The sequence below is a fragment of the Homo sapiens genome, chromosome 4 (genome assembly GCF_000001405.40).
Source record: "Homo sapiens chromosome 4, GRCh38.p14 Primary Assembly".
In the NCBI taxonomy this organism is placed as follows: Eukaryota; Metazoa; Chordata; class Mammalia; order Primates; family Hominidae; genus Homo; species Homo sapiens.
In genome coordinates, this window is record NC_000004.12 from 80,422,058 (window position 1) to 80,449,550 (window position 27,493).

At 38.1% G+C, this 27,493-nt stretch overlaps 1 protein-coding gene across 7 annotated transcripts in view, besides 1 other annotated feature; it reads left to right on the forward strand.

Annotated features, from left to right (window-relative positions):
• Nucleotides 1-27,493, forward strand: part of CFAP299 (cilia and flagella associated protein 299) — a 642,486-nt gene that overhangs the window by 100,793 nt on the left and 514,200 nt on the right. The window contains exon 1 of one of the 7 annotated variants that reach the window (XM_047449977.1): nucleotides 26,884-27,201. The exons of the other annotated variants lie outside the window; for them this stretch is intronic. Coding sequence (XP_047305933.1) covers nucleotides 27,200-27,201 — 2 coding nt within the window. The 5' untranslated portion in view covers nucleotides 26,884-27,199. Of the gene's footprint in view, nucleotides 1-26,883; nucleotides 27,202-27,493 lie in introns of those variants that run through there. 7 annotated transcript variants of the gene reach the window in all.
• Nucleotides 17,917-18,699: an enhancer, noted in NCBI's record as "H3K27ac-H3K4me1 hESC enhancer chr4:81361128-81361910 (GRCh37/hg19 assembly coordinates)". NCBI's record gives its function as "activates a minimal SCP1, AML or CMV promoter by ChIP-STARR-seq in primed H9 embryonic stem cells {active_cell/tissue: H9 hESC(primed)}" and the evidence as "EXISTENCE:reporter gene assay evidence [ECO:0000049][PMID:30033119]".

A 27,493-nucleotide genomic window follows, 5' to 3' on the forward strand; every position in this document is an offset into this window, starting at 1 on the left:
GACCTAAGGGCTGATGGATAATTATGAAAGACAGTGTGATTTGTTCCTTAAGTACTAAAAGAGATTTAAAAAAAATACTATCTTGTTTAATGTCTGCAGACATGATGCTCTCATTCCACTAAGTCTCTACTTACAACTATACACCATAGTTCAGCTATTCACCATAGTGTGAATACTTAACAACTATTCACCATAGTGTCCTATAAAGTTGTTGGTATAACAAACCAGATGGGAAGCAGACCTCTGTAGTTTATAAAATAAGTAGCTTTTCCCCTCACTAATCTCACAGCATTGGTTTTTCAGTGCTGCTAAAATTAAAAAAAAAAAAAATTCTTTAGTTTAGCCCTCCACAGGTGAGTTGCTTTTCTAACTGCATCTGCTACTACGCCCATAGGCCGACCCTAAGTTCCTGACAGATGAGATTACTTGCAAGGTCTTGTACTTTTTCAAGTTTCTGCTTTTTCTCATCCTGTTCTTTCTTTTTTACATGGAATTACTGAATTTTATTATTCATTCTATCAGTTGTTATTAAGTATCTTGGGCCAGGACCAAGCACTGTGAGTAAGTATATACTCATAGTGAGTATACTTAAATGCTTAAATTGAGTATACTTAAATAAACTATTAGTAGATGATCAATATGTTTGTTTGGCTTGAATGTACAATACAAGAATTTATGGGTGGCACTGGGGATGAGGCAGCTTCTCAAGGATTATTTAGGCAGAAAAAGTTTCTTTACATTAAAACCTATAGTCATGTCTTGCTTAATGATAGGGATACATTCTGAGAAAATTGTGGGTAATTTTTGTCCTTGTGCAAACATCACAGAGTATACTTATGTAAACCTAGATGGCATGGAGTACTAGGCACACCTAGGCTATATGGTACAGCCTATTGCCCCTACAAACCTACACAGCATGTTACTGTACTGAATACTGTAGGCAATTATGTAACACAATGATATTTGTATATCTAAACATATCTAAACTTATAAAAGTCACAGTAAACATAGGTATAAAAGATTAAATAGGTACATTTGCATAAGGCAGCTCCATTATAATCTTATGGGACTACCCTTGTATATGTGGTCTGTGGTTGACAAGAACCTTGTTATGTGGTCTGTATGACTGCATAAGTTAGGCCTCATAGTCATTTCTACAAATCGAAACTGCCATCTATATGTAAATAACAATGGAAGTATGCACATATGCCAAAGTTTAGAAAGTATTATTTTAAGATGTATTTTAGACAACAAAAATTCAACAATTAATAATAGTCCATTTGGACTATTGGGGAGCCCCAAAATAAGTAAAGTATAATATATCTAGGGTTGCCAGATTTAGCAAGCAAAAATATAAGATGTCCAGCTAAATTTGTTGCCAAAAGCCCTTTTCTCCAAATTTTCTAAGTCCTCATTTTGTTCCTGAGGCTGGTATTGTTTTCTGGGGCAGCACTGGGCCAAGGTCTCAACTGTGTGGGCTCCAGACCCAGTGACTCCTGCTCTCTGGGAGCTCTCTGACCCCCTATTCCATGCATGGAGCTAAACAGATGTCCTCAGAGATATTTGCTTAGTTACTGGAGGGGTTGTCTCAGCTGGCGGCTGGGCCAGAGTTCCAGGAGGCAGTCTGGCGAGCAGATCTCTCCTCTGACTTGGTCAGTGTTTCTTTCTCTCACTGTGTACAAGATTGGGCTGCCAGAATGGTGCTGAAATGTTCATTATGGGTGACTCACCCACTGTATAAAAATGGACAAAGGCAAGGCTCTGGGAGACTGGCTGAGCTTTGAGCTGGAACTGCATGTGGGGGCCTATGAGCTGTCTGTGTTCCAAGGGAGAAGGCCACCTTCAGTCTACTGCACCTGAGGGACAGAGGATCTTTCACTGCTGGCTCCCAAGGCAGTCACTCACCTTTCTGCAGGTGGTCCTTCCGGGTGGCCATGCCCCAGACTGTCCAAGAACTTTAGAGATCATTGCTCTGTAACTCTCAATGGGCCCTCCTGATGGATATCCTCTCTTGTTTCTTTTCTATGTGGATGTGTGTCCTCCTGATCAGTCTTAAGCCATTTTGGAAGAGGAAGGGAAATTCTTTGCTTCCAGTCTTAAGCCATTTTGGAAGAGGAAGGGAAATTCTTTGCTTCAGTGGCACTCTTCCTTCTCTGACTATGGCTCTTCCCTTAACCTTCCCACGTGGTGGTATGTGGAAGGCAAGGTTGCAGTTTCAGCATTAAAAGGGATCACATTCTAGGAATGGAGTGATTGTGACCTAAAGAGTTCAAGAAGAGGCAGGATAAGTATAATATGACCAGAAAAGGAATTATTGTTTACATTTTTCTGCACTATCTGGGTAAAACTTGCTTTTGTGGTCATCATCAGTAAAACACAGTGTCATCTCTTGAGGGTCACTGGCGATCAGCATTTATGGGAGGCACTGAGGATGAGGCAGCTTCTCAAAGATGATGTAATCAATATGAAAGAACTGAAATTAGGAAACTGTGGAGACAAGAAGATCTATATTGTTTCAATACACACAAGTTCCAAAGAAGCATGGCATTATGAGTGATAATTGTGTTACTACCTTTTTCTTGCTGAGAGTGATAGGAAATTAACCAAGAACAGCATATAACAATAAAGAACATGAAGACACAGTTTCTGGACCTACTGAGGAAGAGATGATCATTACCTAGACATTAGGAGGAATCTTCACATTCACTGACTGGACGATACAAAAAAATATATTTAAGAACCTCTTCTCTACCCATTATATTAAACTGTCGTCAATCACTAAACATTGCATAGTTTTGTGATTTCTTAATGGATTTAATCAAATTGTTTATATGGAAGGGGCCCTGCATACTCTTGGGGAGCCCAGCCAGAACCAGCACATAGTCCACGGATAGTGTAGAAGGAATGGTGTCCATTACTTCCAGGAGACTCTTCGGTGCCCATCTACTTGTGGGAGGACATTATCCCTTTTAATGGTCCAAGAATTTACAAGCCCTCTAAGACATACGGTATGTCTGTTGCTGTGGTTTGAAGGTGTCCCCCAAAAAGCGTGTGTTATAAATTTAATCCCCAATGCAACAGTGTTGGAAGGTGGGACCTAATGAGAGGTGATTAGGCCATGAAGGCAGAGGAAATAGATTAACTTAGTATTTCTATTTGTTAATAATTTTTTAACCTCTTGCAAGGCCTACCTCATACTCTTTCACATGGTATTTTTTTCTGCACTGTATATCCAGTCCGATGCCTTACATATGAGTAACTGCCTAACAAGCCACATGGAACAAATTCTTAGGTCTTGCTCCTGGTAATGATTTCTCCATTGGGGAAGGATACAAATTATTTTCCCCTTATCTAAGACATTTATTACTACTCATAAATTTCTGAGAATGCAAGTAGCTTTGGGGATACCTTTGTTAGATCAAGGATCATCCTCACCCCTTCCTTTTCCTTGGGGAAGGACTAATTCAGGCTTCTGTGAGGATAATGTTCAGTGTTATTTTCTCATTCCATTATCCATCCCTAGGTCTTTTCACTTAGAATCTTTTGCAGATGTATAAATAGCATTGTTTCCCATGAAAGGGAAACTTGCCTTTAGCAAGCCTCCGAACAGTTGTGCTCTGCACCTGCAGTAATAAAATTCGAGAGAGATAATGTACTGAATTTTAATCACATGTTGCCTTGTTACATATTCACTGTTTAAAAACATTTCCTTTTTGTGGAGTTGTTAGTAAAAGGGTGGTGTTGCCAATTAAGCCACCGAACAGCTTAGGGAGTGATTTTACACTGGGGAATGATTATAGTCTTGTGTAAAAATAGCAGACTCTTTGGTTAAAGTGAAAATGTCTAGTAAACAAGCTTGATGAAAGCCCATCTCACCAGAAATGCTTCAAATATGCATATGTATGTGTTTGAATTTGTGGATGAAGTTGGGTTTTTGTGCAAGTACACAAAAGAAAGGGATCATTTAGTCAACAGCTATGTATATAGAAATTTTGAGCACATCAGTATGTTTAATAAAATTGACCACCAAAGACAGCCTAATAGAGTTACCAGAGCTTTTAGTTTTCTTGTTTTTTTTTTTTAGTTTGACTTTAAAAGACAGTCTGACATTTAACATGTTAACTATTTCTATATTTATCTGAACATATTCATGCTTATTTAATAGACATATTCTCAGTTGTTTTTTGAAGGGAACTATGAAAGGAAAAAAGATGTTATATTTAATAGCCATTTATATTTACTATATATGCTAATATGATCATTACATTATGTTTTGCTATGTTTTCTGGAAGGTTTTTGATAGTTTTTATATTGGAATATGGAGTTTTCTAAGAATTTCTAAAAGGAATGGAAATGAAACTATCTATTGTTCTTCATCCTCAAGAAAAAAGTAAATCTACAAGCTAGAATACAGTGAATTTAGGTTATACATACATTAGAATTTCAGAGATTCAGCATTGCTGGTTTGAGGTTTTCCAAACTTGCCTGTTCATAAGAATCTTCTGCACATGTTTCTTACTAAAATTGATTCTTGGGTCGTCCAGCCCTACCAAACCAGAATCTCCAGGGAGAGGGGCCTAGGACTCTATATGTTTAGCAAGCACTTCTGGTGATTCTTATGCTCAAACAAATTTAACAAACATTGGATAGTGGTTAAGAGCAAGTGTTTTGGATTAGAATGCCTGAGTTAGATTCTTGGTTTCACCACTTCTTAACAAGGTACTGTGGGGAAAGTATCAACAGCTTTAAGCCTCGGTTTTCTTCCTGTTACCTATGACTCTGTCCTGACACTCTTAATCCTTGTAGTTAATTCAAAGAAAAAACTTTTTGTGTGTGAGTATAAAACGATTTTTTTCTAAATAGTTTTTGAGTATTATTTGTCTTTTATGTTGATATCTAGGTTTCTTTCAAGAGTAATAAAATGTAGATCTATAGGCTTATGTCCATTCAAAATGAGTATTAATTAAAGCAATCGTTCTTATCAAACTTGTCATCAGTAAAATAATTTCCAACAACAGATGCTTTGAGGAAAACGGGATATCACAAGCAAAAGAATTTGAGGAAATGCTATAGTAATCTCTCATTTTTCTGTATTCATATAACAACAACTCTGAAAAGTTGTATAGTAAGGAACACCTGCTTAATTTTGTTTAATCCAGCATTTCTCCAGCTTATTTAACCATATAATTCCTTTCCACCAACATATTTTATTTTATTTTATTTTACTTTGTATATCACTGATTAACATTTTTAGCCTACTGTTATCTTTTAAGATCAATTTTAGGTTTGGAAATATAAATTTAATTTATTTAGTGCCTATATGTGTGAAATATTATTATTGCTATGCAATTATATAACTAATCTTTTCTTACCTTTTAAAAGTAGTAACAAATCTTTAACTTGGCTGTTCTTTCCTATGTGAAGTCTTCTTAACCTGAATCTCACGGACCTTTTCAGGTTTCAATAAATGACATGAATAGTCCCAAAATTGTGTGTGGCATTTTGTGTGTGATATGCACATTTCTGTAGAAAGGGCTCATTGTTTTAAAATTGGATCCTCAAAGAGTTATGTGGCCCGTGAAAGATTAATACTCACTCCTACATAGGAGGTAATTGCCACTGTTAGGTTGTTTTTCCCTTTCTAAATCAAGGAGCTGCATTAAACAGCAACTTAAGTGTTGAAACAAGATAGAAAAATACATTAGAATACATTGGTGAAGGCATTCAGGACATTTTATTTTTATTTCAACTGCCTATAATGCTTAGAATTTCTTTATTTTTAGATATTAATAGTGATTTAAACTTTATTTTTCTTTATTGCTTCAGATTTTTGATATTTATTAATTTTTATCTATTAATTCACAAATGGTCATTAAATAACTACCATTTGCCACATATTAGATACAGTGAAAAACAAAGAACCATTGGGCGATTGTAAGGAACAGCTCTTAATTTCAACCTTTTTATTTCTCAGGAGACAATAAAGTTAATATGCTAGACAGCAAGCCACTGCAGAAACTAGTGGCTCAATAAAAACAGAACTCAAAGAAGTGAGTTTTTGGCAGAGTTTGTAGAGTGGTTCTACACCTTACCCCTGTTTTTGTTACCTCTTTTGGTATCTATTCTGATGCTATTATTCCTTGGCTACATACTATATCTCCTCTAATAAATGACTGTCCTTTTGTTTCTAGTTTAATTCTTAATTTGAGCCAAGTTCCTACATTCATTCTGCTACTATCCCTATTCATTCAATGTCTTTTTAGAAAAAGCCTATTCTAAATTGGAAACAGGCAGGGAGTATTCTTTATCTGTAGTAATCTGCACCTCCACCTTAGTAGCAGCATGTTTTAACCAGCTGAATTACTCTGGGAAAATAATGCATAAATATAGTAACATATGAAGAAAATGTTTCCTCGTGAGAAAAATGAACTAACTATGTTAAAAGTATTTCAGCAGGAATAACATTGCTTTTTTTTCTTTCTTTTTTTTGAGACAGTCTCACTCTGTCACCTGGGCTGGAGTGCGGTGGTGCTATCTTGGCTCACTGCAACCTCTGCCTCCTGGGTTCAAGTGATTCTCCTGCCCCAGCCTCACGAGTAGCTGGGATTACAGGTGCCTGCCACCATGCCTCGCTAATTTTTTTTTTTTTTGTTTGTATTTTTAGTAGAGATGGGGGTTTTACCATGTTGGTCAGGCTGATCTCAAACTCCTGACCTCATGATTTGCCTGCCTTGGCCTCCCAAAGTGCTGGGATTACAGGCGTGAGCCACCACACCAGGCCAACATTGCATTCTTTTAAAATGAAAACATGAATAGAGGTAAACTAATATTTCCAGAATTATTGACACTCTGTACACAATGTGTGTGTTTTTCTTGGCCTTAAACATTTTTTTCCAGTAAATCAGATTCATTCTATTTGGCAAGATTTTTAGAAAGAGCATGAGGTTATTTATGGGATGAGCATTTGACAAGTTCACACAATGTATAGTTCAGAGTTCAAAGTTGAAATTACAGTACTGTTTTCTTGATGAGCTTTCTCTGGCAAATTGCCTGTGAAAATTCTGGTAGGTTTCCATACATCCCACCCAGTATTCAACGAATATTATAAAATCACTCATCAGCTGGGACTAATTGCTCTGGAGTTATTTATCTGAATAATATTAACTCTTTATTAGCCTTGTTGAAACAATAATGAAACAATAAGGGCACATTTAATTGAAAGAATCATGTAGTCTTTTGCCTATAAATTGGAGAGAAAATACATATTTTACTTGTATCATTGAGAACAGAAATATTTTAAACAATTATAAAATTGGTAAGATATATCTTATGTATCTTAGTATAAAATCTAATTAGGAACTTTCCAGAAATGTTTCTCCTTTAACTTCATTTAATGACACATTTCTGTTGCATTTTACTGTGCCATCAACATTCCACACTTGTTAATTTATTTTGGTGGCTGTGGTGCTGAAATTTTATGTCATTTTTAACTGTGAGCTCAATTTTATGGAAATTTTATACATCTTTGGGTAATGTGGACTGAGCTTGGTTATTATAGCATTACTCTGAAATTTGATATTAAGAACATGAGCATGCTATGAAATGTTGAATAACTATATCATAGTCAATCATAATAACTATGTAATAGTTATTCAGCAGATTTGTAATCATAACTATGATTCTATATGATTCTAGTGGAGTTCTTTAATGTCTTTTAATAGAGTGAAATGTTGCTTCTTGAAAGAAGTTGATTTGGGGTTAAGTATTTTAATTTGTAATATGTCATTGTTAAAAAAAAATGGCCATATTTGTAAAGGCACAAGGCTTAGGTAAAATAAATAATCTGGATGCTAAAGAGGGCATTAGGAGTAAACAATTTTATGTTTATTTCCAAGTTTTTTTTTATGTATACCATCACTCACTCTGAATTTTGAATTTCCAATTGGTGCTATCTAGAATATGAAGCTTTATAGCAATCTTCTACATTTTTAAATCTAATAAGCATTTTATGACTATACAGTATTTTCCATTATATTTTATTTTGGGTTTTCATATTTTTATTCATAAATGAGATTCATTTATTTAATATATTTTTTACTAAACATGAATTATGTACCAGGTACTGTTCTAGTCCCTGAGAATTTATTAATGACAAACACAGAAAAAATTCTTGGCATAATGAAGTTTTCATCACAGTGAGATTGAGGACAATAAACAAAACAAACAAATCCATTGGCCAGTTCTCAGTCCTCATCTTATTTGACTTGTCGGCAGCATTTGACACTGCTGATCTATTTCTCTGCCTTGCAATACTTTCTTCACTTAGCTTTGGGATTTTCCCAAGTTTTCATCTTTGACTGTTCGTTCTCAATTTCCTTTGCTGGTTCCTCTTTATCCTCTGAATTTCTTAATGTTGAGGTGCTCTGGGGATCAGTCCTTGAACTTCTCTAGCTTGCCTTCATTGCATATTTGACTTAGGTCACAAGGATGTTTGATTATGTGTTCATTAGCAGGGCTTCAAATACACTCTCTAACAACTTCCTACTTCTTAGTCTTCAATCAGATCTCTCCCCTAAACGCCGTTCTCATTATCAGTTTACTCCACTCCTCCTCTTGACTATCTAGTACATAGAGACTCCTGAGCATCCCTTCTAAACCTGCTCATCCTGCAGGTTTCCATTCAGTACATGGCATCCCCAGCCAAAAATCTAGGAATTATTATTTGCTTCTCTCTTTCTCTCTCAGCACATCTCTATCTAATCTATCATCTTTTTACCTCATTAGCCCTAGCTTTCTCCGCTTCAGCCATTCTAGCCTCTTTGCTGTTCCTTTGGTCCTCCAGATGTTGTCCAACACCAGGGCCTTTTTTTGTGGGAACCTTTTCTTCCAGATACCCAAATGGTTTAGTCCCTCACATCCTTCAGGTTTGTTTCCCACATTCACCTTCGTGAGACCTCCTCTGACCAATCCATTTAAAAATTACTGCCCTCTTCCTTCACAGCAGCTGTCTCTTCCTTATCTATATTCCCTGTTAAGGTTTTCTTGGTTGCATTTACCCTGTCTAACATAGTACATATTGTACTTACTTTGTGGTTATTGCTACCTCCTTCCTCTACTAGAATGTGAGCTCCTTGGGCAGGATGTTTTATCTGTTTTGTTCAGTAACTGGAATGGTATCTGGCATTCCGGACTCAATGCAATGTGGGCCTCTAGTAGAAGAGGAACCAAATATTTGCAAGGCTTTTCTTCCTCATTCCCTCTCTCTGTTCTTTTCCTTCCTTCTTTCCTTCCTTTTTTCCCTCCATCTCTCCCCCCTTCCTTCCCTTCTTCCTCCCTCTCTTCCTTTCTTCCTTCCTCCCTCCTTTTTTCCCTTCCTCCCTTCCTTTCTTTGCCTCCCTTTTTGCCTCCCTCACTCCTTCCCTTCTTTCCGTTTCCTCCTCCTCCTCCTCCTGTTTCTTCTCTTCTCCCTCGTCCTTCTCTTCTTTCCCTTCCCCTTCTCCTTCTTCTCCTTTTATTTTTCTTAAGAAACTTGGAGAAGCCACTGAGTTAAGGCCAATTTTCTATATCTAGCCCTCTGTTTGGATTGGCAGCCGCTTGGTTATAGGGAAAAGCTGTGTCTAGTCTTCCTGAGGCATTGTCAAACTAGGACATCACAGAGAAGCCTCTTCACCTTCGGGGTCACTGCTCATTAACCCTATTGTTCAAACTCTGCAGCTGGCAGCTCAGTAGCCATTGAATGCCATTGATATGTGGCTATAAAAATTATTCTGTTTTGGGAGTGGCTTGTTCTAATAGTGAGTGTTGGGGCTGCAGCATGCCAACATGGTCCTGGATGGCTTTCCTCTACTTCCTGTGATACTGTGCTACTTTCACAGAAGAGTTTGTTGTTCTCTATGCCAATTCATTGTCAGCTCTATAAGGATAGGGACATTTTCTGAATAACAAGGCCCACTTGGTTCACAAAAATAACACAGTAAGTATTTTTTGAATAAGTTAATGTAATAATCTCACTTATAGATAGGAAAATCTAAAAGAAAATCAAAATGGAAACTATTTTATGATTGCAAAATATTAGGAGTCAACACTTAGTTATTTCATTTTTTGTTTTTTTTGAAATGGAGTCTTGCTGTGTCGCCCAGGCTGGAGTGCAATGGTGCCATCTCAGCTCACTGCAACCTCCCCCTCCAGGGTTCAAGTGATTCTCCTGCCTCAGCCTCCTGAGTAGCTGGGATTACAGGCACGCGCCACCATGGCTGGCTAATTTTTGTATTTTTTAGTAGAGACGGGGTTTCACCATGTTGATCAGGCTGGTCTCGAACTCCTGATCTTGTGATCCACCTGTCTTGGCCTCCCAAAGTGCTAGGATTACAGGCGTGAGCAACCATGCCCGGCCCTTTCATTTGTTTTATTTATGCTATTTCTAAAAGACAGTCTTTTTAGCACAAGTTTTTCAGTTCACATGCAATTTACACTCTATTTTTTTTTTTTTTTTTGAGACGGAGTCTCACTCTGTCGCCCAGGCTGGAGTGCAGTGACTCAACCTCAGCTCACTGCAAGCTCCGCCTCCCAGGTTAACACCATTCCCCTGCCTCAGCCTCCAGAGTAGCTGGGACTACAGGCGCCCACCACCACGCCTGGCTAATTTTTTGTATTTTTAGTAGAGATGGGGTTTCTGTGTTAGCCAGGATGGTCTCGATCTTCTAATCCACCCACCTCGGCCTCCCAAAGTGCTGGGATTACAGGTGTGAGCCACCGTGCCCGGCCTACACTCTATTTTTTATATACTTTCTGTGCAAGGTAATAAAAATCTAGAGTTGGAGGGAGGGGAATAAGTATTCTTAGCTTCCCATCTTTCCCAGAATATTTTCATCAATGTTTATTTTTAATTAAAAATACCTCTCACCTTCTTTACTCATCTTATATTCCTGATAGAGCACTGATTGACTTTGTTCATTCTCAGAGAACAAAGATTTACTCTCATCAAGAAGACTTTAAAAGATACCTGTTCTTGATGTGGCATGGCAGATATTGAAAAGTTATTTTTCTGAACTCATTGTCCTTAATTTATCCTGTTCATCTGTTAGTTCCTACCTATGAAAAACCACAGAGGAAAAAAAAAGATTCATAAAAGGCTGAAGTTACATTATTTATCCCAAGGTGTTATATTCTGGAAACCATGGAGGTACCCTGTACTTGAGTAATTAAAACAAGCATTTTATGTGTATAGATGATACATTTCTCTTAATTCATAAACCACCTTCTAAATATCTCAATATGTACAGCTGTGTATTCCTGAACATGATCTGTGGTGATAGCTTAATTCTGCTCCTAAGAATGAAAAAATAAGAAAGAGAAACATTTGTGGGAAAATAGAAAGAATACTTTACCTTAAAAAAACGAACACTTCGAGTTCTGCTTTTCTCAGTTTCTCAAAACTATAATTGAATATTTTATTCTTCAAATAAAAGCACAGATGGCTTTAATGATTGTAAATAAATAGTTCACTTGGTTGTCACTGATTTAAATTACTTAAAAAATCAAATTTTAAGCAAATAATTATAGGTCACATGTAATTTTTTTTGCTAAAATCTTAAGTATGGAGTATTTGGCTACCAACTTTGTACAATGTAACATTTTATAAATAAGTAGTAATTAATTTATTTGCTCTCAGAGTAACTTTTTCTTTCAAGCACGTTAAAAAGAGGATACCCAATTAAAAATTATTTGAAGTTATAATATTACATTAAGACAACAGTTTAATTTGGAAAAGTTTATTTTCTCTACACTCACTGGGAATTTTGTAACCAGTATCATCAGGTAAAAATGCTGTCAACCTCTTCTGTTTGAGATCATGTGTCATACTTAAAAAGTCTCTTCAATGTGTAACACATTTATAGTGTCATAGCAAGTGCTCAATACAACTTTTTAATTGGTCAGTTCATTCTTTATTTCATTCAACAACTATTTACCAAATGCCTGTTATGTATCAGGCATTAATACAAAAGATAAGCTGTAAATTTACATTTATTTATATTAAAATTTGTATTTTAGATGTTAAAAATATTCTATAAACATCATTAGAGCAGCAGGTGTTGTTAAAATAATGCTCTAGTCAACTTAATTCTTATTGTTGTTACAAATATTGGTTCACAATACCCCAACATATTAGATTAAAATAAGCAAGTCTCTTTCTTAAAATTGTAGAAAAAATACTTTTTGCTGTCTGATATCCATTCTTCCCTTCTCCCTTAATGAAAGGACTCTTGTTTTGTAGCAGGACCTGTTGCTATGGAGTAAGGACTACATTTCCCAAGCTCCTTTGGAGGTGATTTGTGCAGCTTCCAGACATATCTTCAAAAAGAGGAAATGTTACATCTTTGCTGCCCTTTCCTCATCCTGCTGCTTTAAAAAGTGTATTTTAAATACTTTTAACAGTGGTGTTTAAAAGTGCTGATGAGTCATATTCCACCATGTAGATAAGAGCAATACCTTAGAGATGACAAAGTTATGTGATATATAAAAAGCCTGCATCGCCTGTAAGAGCCCTGGACTACCATTTTCAGAATATAATGAACAAGCACTAAACCTCTGTTTTCTTTATGAACTGTGATTGAGTCTCTGCCAAACCTACATCCTAAGACAGAATTTGATGCCACAATTTGGGTGCATAAAGAGGTATAACCTAGATATGTGATGTATTATATTTAGCATTTGGTAGGCGGGAGGAGGAGACACAGATATTGGAGTCAGAAAAGCTGATTGATCCTTAAGGATGCTGAGGCAAAGCACTGGTATAATTGTCGGTTGTTATATCTTAGAAGGCACTCCACAAGCTGAGACCAAACATTAGGGAAAATCACAGGAAAGCAGCAGAATCTCAAAGTGTTGACTGCTTTTGCTCTTTTAGTGAAATCTTTTTAAAGAGATGAAGGTAGTCTAGAGTTAGCTAGTATGCAAGTGGAGGTGGAAAGGAATACAGTTCTGTTAAGAAAGGTTTTTTGCTGGGTTAGCAACATAATTTCACAGAGAGTACTATAATTTGAGGACTTTAAGGGTTGAAAAAGGCAACTTTTCCTGTACTTCAAACCAAAGGAATTATAATTGGTGGCTTCAAAGCCACTGCCTTAGTAGGAGATAAGCTCAATGCCCTGCCAGATTTGGGAGCCAGACCAGAGGCAAAATAAAATTAAGGGTATTGCTTTCCCACCCAAACAAAATGGCTCAGATAGCCTGAATGTATCTTCCATCCAGAGAGGGGGTGAGCAAGCACACAGGGTAATAAGGAAAGGCAAGCATCTTTAGGTTTGAACACTACGTTCAAATTAGATCTTTGGCTATAGTTACTTAATATATGGAACTAATCCAAAACAAATTGCCTACAAGCTTACTAAGTTTTTGAGGGAATTGTATGGATAAAGAACAACAACATGGCCTGAAAAAGCCTGTAATTGTTCAACCCCTAAGGAAATCTCTGGGCTGCCAAACTTGGACCAGCAAGAAGCAGGCTACAAAAACATTGCAATCTCCCAAGAAGAATGATTTCAGTAATGTCTACTTGATTCATGGCAAGGGAGGACACAAGATAGAAAAGCACCTTGCAGAGGGTTGAGCAAAGGGCTTTGAATTAGAGACTTCCAGATGGGCCTTACCAAGGGACTTACTCCATGGTTGATCAGGGAATATTTGTAATTCCTACCTAGTGGGATGTGATTAATGTCACAGTCCAGGGACTACCATGTGTCTATCAATTCCCCTTTTTGCTCATGAGGGGCAGTTTAGATGGCCATATCCAATTTCTTTACAAGCCTTGAGTATTGTGTGTGCTGGGGAAATATAAACTTTTATTTTAGTTTATAGGTTGTCAAACCATGAGGCCCCATATCTATCTTTAATGTAAAGAGCTACACATCACCAGATGAGAGGGACTTTCAGCTGGGTGCAGTAATTGATGAGATTTGGAAGTTTCCTCTCTGTGGAGGTGACAAATATGCTCCATGTAAGTAAGAGAGACTGCATAGATACTTGGGTTGCAACGTGGACAGACTGTGGCAAAGAATGTTAACTGCATGCAAATTTCCATTCTCTCCTGCTTTCACAGTGATGTAGCACCTGATTTTTAGTTAGGATTTCCAAAAATATGGTAAGTTGTCTTACTTCCCTTAAAGCAAGGTGTGGCCATGTGACTTATATCTGATAAATGGGCTGTGAGGAAACTTGATGGGTACAAAATGTGGGATATCTTTTTTTTTTTTTTTTTTTGAGACGGAGTCTCACTCTGTTGCCCAGGCTGGAGTGCAGTGGCGCGATCTCAGCTCACTGTAAGCTCCGCCTCACAGGTTCACGCCATTCTCCTGCCTCAGCATCCCGAGTAGCTGGGACTACCGGCACCCATCACCATGCCCGGCTAATTTTGTTTTGTATGTTTTAGTAGAGACGGGGTTTCACCGTGTTAGCCAGGATGGTCTCAATCTCCTGACCTCATGATCCACCCGCCTTGGCCTCCCAAAGTGCTGGGATTACAGGTGTGAGCCACCGTGCCTGGCCAAAATGTGGGATTTAAAAGTAAAGTGTATTGCCTTTCTGCCTCCCTTTCTCCATACTAAATTTTTTGAAACATAGGTAAGGTATTAAGCTATCTTGGAACAAGAGATAAAGATGATTTTGGGGGGAAAATAGAGAAAAATATAATACGACCTTTTGTCCTTGGGTAATTTTGTGCAGCAGAGCTGTCTTTTGTCCCCTGCATTGCCTCCCTCTAGCATGTGACATAAGGGAGAAATGAACTTTGATCACATTGAAGGTGTTGATATTTTGGGTCTCGTAACAGTCAGCTATTGCTTCTGTTTAATAACAATAATATTAAAATCAAAGTGGCATAAAAAATAAGCATTTATTTTTTACTCATGATTTGAAGGAATTGCTTTAACAGCTGTTTTGTATTCATGTAGTCTGGTAAGTTCTGCTGCATGTATCCCTCATTTTTCTGCTGGGACATAGGGCTAGCCAGGGTATCGATATTGCTTGTGGCTAAGAGTTAGATAATAACCAGATAAATGACTACAGTGAATTATCCTACATAAATATTATACAACTAAATATCATCTAGGTGAAAGGGAATTTGAGGCAATGTTTCTAAGGTGTTATTTGATATTGTATTGAGTGGAACTGAATTACTATATCATTGCTAGTGCTGATGTATACATACAAAGTCCTAATTTTTGCCATTTATCTCTCTAGAACTGGAAAAAGTCTGAGATTTTACCTACTTGCCCACTACTAATAAGCTAGCCTGCAATAGTGTAATGAATGCGGCAGGAGACCAAGACTCCTGAGTTAGAGATGAAGGTCAATTTATTATTCACAGAAATAGCAGCAGCCAGAGTCTCAACAGCTTTTGCGCCTATTCTCTGAGCCCCAGTTTCCATAAGGGAACACGATGGAGGCGAGCTGATACCCTGTACACTTACTGAGTCACGTTGCAGAAGAGGGATCCTGAGAGATGGAAAGCCCAAAATTTTAATAAAGGGCAGTAAACATGCCTGTCCTTTGCTCCAGAGGGGAGACACTATCTCCATCTACCAGAGTTATAAGATACATCTTCCAAGGCTGGTCACTATACAGACATCCTTGAAAAGATAGTCTGGAACAAAAGACAGTATCTCTGCTACTATCCTGTGTAGAAATGCAAGAGACCCATGGAGAATTGCTTCCCAAACTGGTCCTGCCAAAGCGATTAGTAATATTGTAATTTTTATTTTAATGGGCACTTTTGTCTACTTGTCTAACTAGGCTTCTCTACAGCTTATAGCACTATTGTTGTTGTCCTTTTTTTGGCTTCATTTACACCATTTTCTTTAGGTTTCTTTCTTATTTCTTTGACCTTTTATTCTTTTCTTACTCATAAAATATATTTTGAGCATTTAGTATGTCTTAGGCAGTCTTGTAAGCATTGAGAAGTGAACAAAACAGAAAAAGCATCTTTGCTTTTATGAAGCTTGCTGTGTCATTGGGGAAGTTAGATGATAAACAAGATAAATAAGTACAATAATATGGAATATGTTAGATGGTGGCAAGTGCTAAAGTAGAAAAATTAATGCAAGGAAACAGAATAGAGGGGTGAGATTAGTGTGGGTTGCAATTTGAGACCACAGACCTCACTAAGATAACATTTGAATAAAAACGTGAAGGAAGTGAGTAAGTCATGAGGCTGTTTGGTGCAGGTTTGATGAAAGAAGTCTAGGAAAAGCCTTCAGTAAATGCAAAGGCCTTGAGTTTCCAGGGGGCCTAATGTGTCTGAGGAATGGCAGGGAGGCTACTCTTGCTTATCTGTTTCATGTCCAGCTTCCAAATGTCATCCCAACTCTTACAATATAAATTTATTTTTCTTCTACCAACATGTATGTGCTTACATATTTCATCTATTTGTGAGGATTAAGGTTGTCTGATTTTTCTGAGACAATTTGAGTAACTTTTTCTTTCTCCACTAATTTGAACGTTACCTTTGCCATAAAATAAATTCTCATCTGAACTTGGTTTCATTTTGACTCTCTCCTGTTCTATTCATCTGTCTGTTTTTAAAATCCATTTAACAAGCTGATTTAATTATTACAACTTTTATTCTTAGAAATGTCCAGGCTTTTCTCCTTTTTTCTCAATTGTAATTTACAATCCTTATGTACAATTTGAAGCTCTTCTAGGTATTTTAACTTGTATTGTACTAGTAAGAGAGAGAAATAGAATTGGTAAATGTATTAAGTCATTCCATACAAGAAAGTGATTTGTCTACTCATTTCCTTAAATATTTTATGCTCCTCAGTCGATATTTACAGCACAATAGTATGTCTTTTTGATTATTGGATTTATATGTAGGTCTTTTTTGCAATGGTTATTTCAAATAGAATCATTTTTTAAAAATAATTCAACAGTGTTCTAAAAAGCTATCTATTTTTGTATATAAATTTTGTGATTTACTAGTATATAGTGTAGTTTTCCAGTCCAATTTTTCATGTTGTCTAGCGAAGACACTATACTGTTTGCAATTATTTTAAATTTGTCTTCTCCCTTCCTATATTTATCACTTATTTCTATTATCTAATTTTGTTTTGATTACTAAATTGAGAACAATATTAAGTTATAGTCATGATTGAGGGAATCTTTAGTTTGTTGCTTACTCTAAAAAAGCAATTAGGGTTTCAGGGCAAGATGGCCAAATAGGAACAGCTCCAGTCTGCAGCTCCCAGGGAGACCAACGCAGAAGGCAGGTGATTTCTGCATTTCCAACTGAGGTACCAAGCTCATCTCATTGGGACTGGTTAGACAGTGGGTGCAGCCCACAGAGGGCTTGCAGAAGCAGGGTAGGGCGTCACCTCACCCGGGAAGCTCAAGGGCTCGGGGAACTCCCTCCCCTTGTCAAGGGAAGCTGAGGGACTATGACATGAGGGATGGTGCTATACGGCCCAGATACTATGCTTTTCCCCAGTTTTCCCAGCCTGCAGAGCAGGAGATTCCCTCGGGTGCCTACAATACCAGGGCCCTGGGTTTCAAGCACAAAACTAGGTGGCTGTTTGGGCAGACACCAAGCTAGCTGCAGGAGTTTTTTCGTACCCCAGTGGTGCCTGGAATGCCAGTGAGACAGAACCATTCATTCCCCTGGAAAGGGGGCTGAAGCCAGGGAGCCAAGTGGTCTTGTTCAGCAGGTCCCACTTCCACAGAGCCCAGCTGCCCAGCAAGCTAAGATCCACTGGCGGGAAATTCTTGCTGCCATCACAGCAGTCTGAAGTCGACCTGCGACACTCGAGCTTGGTGGGGGGAAGGGCATCAACCATTACTGAGGCTTGAGTAAGTGGTTTTCTTCTCACAGTGTAAACAAAGCTGCCAGGAAGTTCGAACTGGGCGGAACCCCCAACAGCTCTGCAAAGCCGCTGTAGTTAAGCTGTCTCTGTAGATTCCTCCTCTCTGGGCAGGGCATCTCTGAAAGAAAGGCAGCAGCCCCCATCAGGGGCTTATAGATAAAACTCCCATCTCCCTGGGACAGAGCACCTGGGAGAAGGGGAGGCTGTGGGCACAGCTTCAGCAGACTTAAACGTTCCTGCCTGCCAGCTCTGAAAAGAGCAGCGGATCTCTCAGCACAATGCTTGAGCTCTGCTAAGGGACAGACTGCCTCCTCAGGTGGGTCCCTGACCCCCATGCCTCCTGACAGGGAGACACCTCCCAGCAGGGCTCGACAGACACCTCATACAGGAGAGCTCCGGCTGGCATCTGGCGGGTGCCCCTCTGGGACGATGCTTCCAGAGGAAGGAGCAAGCAGCAATCTTTGCTGCTCTGTAGCCTCCTCTGGTGTTACTCAGGCAAACAGGGTCTGGGGTGGACCTTCAGCAAACTCCAGCACACCTGCAGCAGAGGGGCCTGACTGATAGAAGGAAAGCTAACAAACAGAAATCAATAACATCAACATCAACAAAAAGGATGCCCACGCAAAAACCCCATCTGAAGGTCATCAGCATCAAAGATCAACAGAAGATTTAAAAAAAACAAAGATGAGGAAAAAACAGTGCAAAAATGCTGAAAATTCCAAAAACCAGAATGCCTCTTCTCCTCTAAAGAATCACAACTCCTTGCCAGCAAGGGAACAAAACTGGACAAAGAATGAATTTGATGAATAGACAGAAGTAGTCTTCAGAAGGTGGGTAATAACAAACTCCTCCAAGCTAAAGGAGCATATTCTAACCCAGTGCAAGGAAGCTAAGAACCTTGATAAAGGGTTACAGGAATGGCTAACTAGAATAACCAATTTAGAGAAGAACATAAATAACCTGATGGAGCTGAAAAACACAGCATGAGAACTTCATGAAGCATCCTCAAGTATCAATAGCCGAATCAATCAAGTGGAAGTAAAGATATCAGAGATGGAAGATCAAATGAAAATAAAGTGTGAAGACAAGATGAGAGAAAAAAGAATGAAAAGGGATGAACAAAGCCTCCATGAAATATGGGACTGTGTGAAAAGACCAAACCAATGTTTGATTGATATACCTGAAAGTGACAGGGAGAATGGAACCCAGTTGGAAAACACTTCAGGATATTATCCAGGATAACTTCCCCAACCTAGCAAGACAGGGCAACATTCAAATTTAGGAAATACAGAGAACACCACTAAGATACTCCTTGAGAAGACCAACCCCAAGACACACAATTGTTAGATTCTCCAAGGTTGAAATGAAGGAAAAAATGTTAAGGGCAGCCAGAGAGGAAGGTCAGGTTACCCACAACAAGAAGTCCATTGGAGTAACAGCGGATCTCTCTGCAGAAACCCTGCAAGCCAGAAGAGAGTGGGGGCCAACATTCAACATTCTTAAAGAAAAGAGTTTTCAACCCAGAATTGCATATCCAGCCAAACTAAGCTTCATAATTGAAGGGGAAATAAAATCCTTTACAGACAAACAAATGCTGAGAGATTTTGTCATCACCAGGCCTGCCTTACAAGAGCTCCTGAAGGCTGCACTAAATATGGAAAGGAAAAACCATTACCAGCCACTGCAACAACATACCAAAATGTAAAGACCATCAACACTATAAAGAAACTGCATCAACTAATGTGCAAAATCACCAGCTAGCATCATAATGACAGGGTTAAATTCACACATAATAATATTAACCTTAAATGTAAATGGGCTAAATGCCCCAATTAAAAGACACAGACTGGCAAGTTGGATAAAGAGTCAAGACCCATCAGTGTGCTTGTATTCAGGAGAACCTACTCATGTGCAAAAACACACATAGGCTTAAAATAAAGGGATGGAGGAATATTTACCAAGCAAATGGAAAACAAAAAAATGCAGGAGTTGCAATCCTACTGTCTGATAAAACAGCCTTTAGACCAACAAAGATCATCAGAGACAAAGAAGGGCATTACATAATGGTAAAGGGATCAATGCAACAAGAATAGCTAACTATCCTAAATATATATGCACCCAATATAGGAGCACACAGATTCATAAAGTGAGTTCTTAGAGACCAACAAAGAGACTTAGACTCCCACACAATAATAGTGGGAGACTTTACCACCCCACTGTCAATATTAGACAGATATTTACAAGACAGAAAATTAACAAGGATATTCAGGACTTGAACTGAGCTCTGGACCAAGCAGACCTAATAGATGTCTACAAAATTATCCACCCCAAATCAACAGAATATACATTCTTAGCACCACATAGCACTTATTCTAAAATTGACCACATAATTAGAAGTAAAACACTCCTCAGCAAATGCAAAAGAATGGAAATCATGACAAACAGTCTCTCAGACCACAGTGCAATTAAATTAGAACTCAGGATTAAGAAACTCACTCAAAACCGCAGAACTACATGGAAACTGAACAACCTACTCCTGAATGACTACTGGGTAAATAACGAAATTAAGGCAGAAATAAATAAGTTCTTTGAAACAAATGAGAAAAAAGACACAACATACCAGAATCTCTGGGACACAGCTAAAGCAGTGTTTAGAGGGAAATTTATAGTACTAAATGCCCACATGAGAAAATTGACACCGTAACATCACAATTAAAAGTCAACTAGAGAAACAAGAGCAAATTCAAAGACTAGCAGAAGACAAGAAATAACTAAGATCAGAGCAGAACTGAAGGAGATAGAGACTCGAAAAACCCTTCAAAAAATCAATGAATCCAGGAGCTGGTTTTTTGAAAAGATTAACAAAATAGATAGACTAGTAGCCGGACAAACAAAGAAATAAAGAGAGAAGAATCAAATAGACACAATAAAAAAGATAAAGGGGAGATCACCACTGATCCACAGAAACACAAACTACCATTGGAGAATACTATAAACACCTCTAAACAAGTAAACTAGAAAATCTAGAAGAAATGGATAAATTCCTGGACACATACACACTCCCAAGACTAAACCAGGAGAAGTCGAATCCCTGAATAGACTAATAACAAGTTCTGAAATTGAGACAGTAGTTAATAGCCTACCAAACAAAAAGAGCCCAGGATCAGACGGATTCACAGCCGAATTCTCCCAGGGGTACAAAGAGGAGCTGGTACCATTCCTTCTGAAACTATTCCAAACAATAGAAAGAGAGGGACTCCTACCTAACTCATTTTATGGGCCAGCGTCATCCTGATACTAAAACCTGGCAGAGACAACAACAACAAAAATTTCAGGCCAGTGTCCCTTGAGCATCAATGCAAAAATCTTCAACAAAATACTGGGAAACCGAATCCAGCAGCACATCAAAAAGCTTATCCACCATGATCAAGTCACCTTCATCCCTGGGATGCAAGGCTGGTTCAACATGCACAAGTCAATAAACGTAATCCATCACATAAACAGAACCAATGACAAAAACCACATGATTATCTCAATAGTTGCAGAAAAGGCCTTCGATAAAATTCAAAACCCCTTCATGCTAAAAGCACTCAATAAGCTAGGTGTTGATGGAACATATCTCTAAATAATAAGAGCTATTTATGACAAACCCACAGCCAATATCATACTGAATGGGCAAAAGCGGGAAACATTTCCTTTGAAAACCGGCACAAGACAAGGATGCCCTCTCTCACCACTCCTATTCAACACAGTATTGGAAGTCCTGGCCAGGGCAGTCAGGCAAGAGAAAGAAATAAAGGGTATTCAAATAGGAAGAGAGGAAGTCAAATTGTCTCTGTTTGCAGATGACATGATTGTATATTTAGACAGCCCCATCATCTCAGCCCAAAATTTCTTTAAGCTGATAAACAACTGCAGCAAAGTCTCAGGATAGAAAGTCAATGTGCAAAAATCACAAGCATTACTACACACCAGTAATAGACAAACAGAGCCAAATCATGAGTGAACTGCCATTCATAATTGCTACAAAGAGAATAAAATACCTAGGAATCCAACTTACAAGAGAAGTGAAGGACCTCTTCAAGGAGAACGACAAACCACTGCTCAAGGAAACAAGAGAGGACACAAAGAAATGGGAAAACATTCCATGCTCATGGATAGGAAAAATCAATATTGTGAAAATGGCCACACTGCCCACAGTAGTTTATAGATTCAATGCTATTTCTGTCAAACTACCATTGAGTTTCTTTAGAGAATTAGAAAAACTACTTTAAATTTGATATGAAACCAAAAAAGAACCTGTATAGCCAAGACAATGCTAAGCAAAAAGAACAAAGCTGGAGGCATCATGCTACCTGACTTCAAACTATACTACAAGGCTACAGTAACTAAGACAGCATGGTACTGGTACCAAAACAGATATATAGGCCAATGGAACAGAACAGAAGCCTCAGAAATAACACCACACATCTACAACCATCTGATCTTTGACAAACCTGACAAAAACAAGCAATGGGGAAAGGATTCCCTATTTAATAAATCATGTTGGAAAAACAGGCTAGCCATATGCAGAAAACTGAAACTGAACCCCTATCTTACACATTATACAAAAATTAATATAAGATGGATTAAAGACTTAAACATAACACCTAAAACCATAAAAACCCTACAAGAAAACCTAGGCAATACTATTCAGGACTTAGGCATGGGCAAAGACTTCATGACTAAAACACCAAAAGTAATTGCAACAAAAGCCAAAATTGACAAATGGGATCTAATTAAACTAAAGAGCTTCTGCACAGCAAAAGAAACTATCATCAGAGTGAATAGGCAACCTACAGATGGGAGAAAATTTTTGCAATCTACTCATCTGACAAAGGGTTAATATCCAGAATCTACAAGGAACTTAAACAAATTTACAAGAAAAAAACAACCCCATCAACAAGTGGGTGAAGGATATAAACAGACGCTTCTCAAAAGAAGACATTTTTGCTGCCAACAAACATGAAAAAAAGCTCATCATCATTGGTCATTAGAGACATGCAAATCGAAACCACAATGAGATACCATCTCATGCCAGTTAGAATGGCGATCCATTAAAAAGTCAGGAAACAATAGATGTTGGAGAGGATGTGGAGAAATAGGAACACTTTTATATTGTTGGTGGGAGTGTAAATTAGTTCAACCATTGTTGAAGACAGTGTGGCGATTCCTCAAGGGTCTAGAACCAGAAATACCATTTGACCCAGCAATCCCATTACTGGGTGTATACCCAAAGGATTATAAATCATTCTATTATAAAGACACATGCACACATATGTTTATTGCAGCGCTGTTTACAATAGCATAGACTTGGAACCAACCCAGATGCCCAACAATGATAGAGTGAATAAAGAAAATGTGGCACATATACACAATGGAATACTATGCAGCCATAAAAAAGAATGAGTTCATGTCCTTTGCAGGGACATGGATGAAGCTGGAAACTATCATTCTCAGCAAACTAACACAGTAACAGAAAACTGAACACCACATATTCTCACTTATAAGTGGGAGTTGAACAGTGAGAACACATGGACACAGGGAGGGGAATGTCATACACCGAGGCCTGTCAGGGGTTGGGGGAAAGGGGAGGGATAGTGTTAAGAAAAATACCTAATGTAGATGACGGGTTGATGCGTGGAGCAAACCACCATGGCACATGTATACCTATGTAAGAAACTTGCACATTCTGCACATGTATCCCAGAACTTAAAGTATATTAAAAAAAAAACATTTAAAGTATCATCATTAAGCATAGTTTGCTTATTTGTTTTGAGTCATATATTTTTATCAGATTAAGCAAATATGTACTTCTGTGCTACTAAAAGTTTAAAAATTCAAGAATAGAAGATGAATTTTGTTATACATAATTTGTTGGCATCTATTGAGATCGTATGATTTTCTTTGACATAGTTAATATGGTTTATTACAGTAATAAATAACTGAGTTGGCATTGTATGCTAAAGATGTGTGTATGTGGTGTTGAATTGGCCTCTTTAAAAACTTTCAGGTCTTTTATTCTTTCACTCCGCCTGAAAGTTTGAAATGGTGTCTCTCCCTTTGATATTTATGCTGCGTGCTGGAGTGGCCAGGAGGAAGATTTTGAGATGGAGATTAGCATGCTTGACATGTATTAGGGAATGCTTCATTTGAGAGCAATGAGGAAGAAGAGAGAGGAAGGATTCAGGACTGGGAAGAGGAAAAGGCATAGGTGTTGTGTCAATCAGTGAAGGCCTCAGCCAACCACCTGTGGAACTCTGCAGTTGTCCATATTTGTGTGTGTAGAGGATGTATAGGGGAGGGTCAGGGGAAAGTGGCAGCACTTTTTATTCCTGCATCAAGCAGTCATTGGATATAGCCATTCAATGCAGGAAGGGGGCAAGGACTTGTACAAGACAATGCTCTTCAACCAGAGGAAATTCCCAAGAGGCTGACAGTTGAGGACTATCTGCCAACAGCAATCTCAGAAATGTTGAAATAAGTCTTCCATTTCTGTAAGCAAGATCTGTTTGGCACATGACAGCATCCACCACATCTAATTGACAGCTTCCATAATTCTATCCTCTACTTAAGTAATCTTATCCTTTTCACTGTCATTTATTATACTATTTGGGCCTTTGAGCCATTTTTTTTCCAGCTTAGATCCTTCTTTTGAGTTCTAGATCCAGAAATACAGCTGTCTTCTATCCATTACTTTCTGCATTAGGGACCTCAAACATCACATTGTAAGACTGAACTGATTTTCTCCTTCCCAAATTTCTGCCACCAACTCTATTACATTTCTCACCTGGTAGCATTACAGTCTATTTAGTCACTCAAGATAGAAATTTGAAAGAAAACTTCTATCAATGACTCTTAACCCAGAAATTTAATAATAGTTTCTCAGGAGATCAGTCAACTCATCAAAATGTGGATTTTATGTGTGCATTTTTATGGATCGTGGCTTTTCAGATTTGCAAAGGGTTTTGCAATTCAGTAAAAGATTAAGTAAGCATCATGGTTCAGGAATTTTTTTTTACATAATCTCAATCAACAAAACTATTCACCAAGGTCTGTTGATTCTACTTGTAATATTTTTTACCTACTGCTTTTATAAGTAGGCACTTACCCTCTCTTATGTGATTAACAATGGTAGTGTTTCTTTGTTTTTGTTTTTGCTTTTTATTTGTTTTTTTTTTGTTTTTTTTTTTTTTTTTTTTTTTGAGACGGAGTCTCGCTCTGTCACCCAGGCTGGAGTGCAGTGGCGGGATCTCGGCTCACTGCAAGCTCCGCCTCCCGGGTTCACGCCATTCTCCTGCCTCAGCCTCCCAAGTAGCTGGGACTACAGGCGCCCGCCACTACGCCCGGCTAATTTTTTGTATTTTTAGTAGAGACGGGGTTTCACCGTTTTAGCCGGGATGGTCTCGATCTCCTGACCTCGTGATCCGCCCGCCTCGGCCTCCCAAAGTGCTGGGATTACAGGCGTGAGCCACCGCGCCCGGCCTATTTGTTTGTTTTTTAAGACAGAGTCTTGCTCTGTCACCCAGGATGGAGTGCAGTGGCGTGATCTCAGCTCACTGCAACCTCCGCCTCCTGGATTCAAGCGGTTCTCCTGCCTCAGCTTGTAGCGGTTCCCCTGCCTCAGTCCCATGTAGCTGGGACTACAGGTATGCGCCACCATGCCCTGCTAATTTTTATGTTTAGTAGAGATGGGGTTTCACCATTTTGGCCAGGCTGGTCTGAAACTCCTGACCTCAGGTGATCTGCCTGCCTCGGCCTCCCAAAGTGCTAAGATTACGGGTGTGAGCCACCATGCCCGGCCAACAATTGCAGTTTTACTAACAGTCTTCTTGCTTTAAATTTTGACATAATCCTCCCACCCCATCCCCATCCCCGCTTTTCTAGTCAGTTTTCTATACTCTGGCCAGTTTAATCTTTTAATAGTGCAAATTGTACCAAGACATTTCTCTAATGCAATTATACCACTGGCTTTTTGAGATAAATTCAAGCTCCTTAGCATGGCACACAAGGCTTTATATGATCTAGCATTTGTGGATCTGTGCAGCCTCACTCATTGGCACTCCCACCACCATGTTTTAGGCACCAGCAGTCAGCAATCTGTAGAACAGATCTGTATGTTGTACACTGTCAATGCATTCTCTCTGCTCAGATTACCCCACTTCGTGGCAATATTGCAGACTTTATTTCTCCCCAGTCAAATAAAGTGAGTTTTCTTCTGGGCAACCTCTTTATTCACCTTTAGTGCACTCCATGGTACATGTCAGCAGCTGGGTTGTGTCTGGTGTTGAAAATGTCAGAAAATCTTAGGAGCTATATGGGTGACTGCTGATTCAGTATTACTTAGCATTTAAGAATGCCTAGTTCCTGCTAGTATTCATCTGATCACAAACTATAATCATCATCCTATTTATACAATAGTAAGTTTGAGAAGTTTTCTGAAGGTGTTAAAATTAATTATATGGTTATTTGAGTCTATCTTTGGGATGCTATTTAATATAATACTATTTAGTGGTAAATATCCATTTGTATTTTCTTATTATATAAATATGATATTGAAAATGCCACCAGCTCTATTATGCCACTAACTCTATTAAACCTTAAATTTTCTTTTAACATAAATGCTTAGAAAAGTTCTTTTTTCTTCTCTTACTAAGAGATCTAGATCCTCTCTGAAAATTGGTACAATCACCAGTACTTAAGGCTGAGAGCACAGAGTTTTCTGCTGTGTTTAGGTGTTAGTGACATTGAACATAATAAAAAAAAAACCACATCTCTGAACTCAATTTCAACAGGTATAATACTTTATTTTCAGCTTCAAGTAATTCTTAGGATTCAAATTGCAGGGTTTTAGAAAAAGAATATCCTAATGAAATTATGACATATGCAATATAGAAACTTACCAAACATTTTTCTAAATGAAAGTGCTTGGTGCTGCAGATGATGAGGTAGTTATAGATCTTGGGACAGAAATATATCCCAAGTGGCCATCTAATCTCCTACCTCCTCATGGGCAGAACCTAATTAAAAGCATCAGGCAAAGTAGTTAATGTACTTCTTGGAGATTAAGGTCAAGACAGGAGTTCTACATCTTCTTCTGCCACACTTTACAAATTATACCAAATACTTTTGCGGATGGTCTTGTATCCCAACAAGCCAAATGCATGTACTACATGCATTTCTGTATTTCGTTTTGATTTTTAGGCAAAGTTTCAATAATGGCATGGAGAGTTTTTGCTCACTTTTCTGCTTCAGTGTGACTATTATTTGAATCACCATGTTTTGTGGATAGAGATGAAATATTATATATGTAAGTACAACTAAAAATCTTAAGTTTTTCTTAGAAATTATTTTGCTCTGAATTTTCACATTGTTATTTCATTTTAAATTTTATTATTAATCACTTATTAGTTATTTATAAATAACAGAACTATTTTCTTTATTATCTCAACCTTCATTCTATCTTTTCTTATTTCTTTATTAACTGTTGTTATTAACAATTAGTCAAGTCTGATTCTTGATGGAATTTCATTTTTTTTTACTTCAAGGTTTAGAGGGTTTATTTCTAAAACACATAATAGCTGGACAACACTTAACCATTT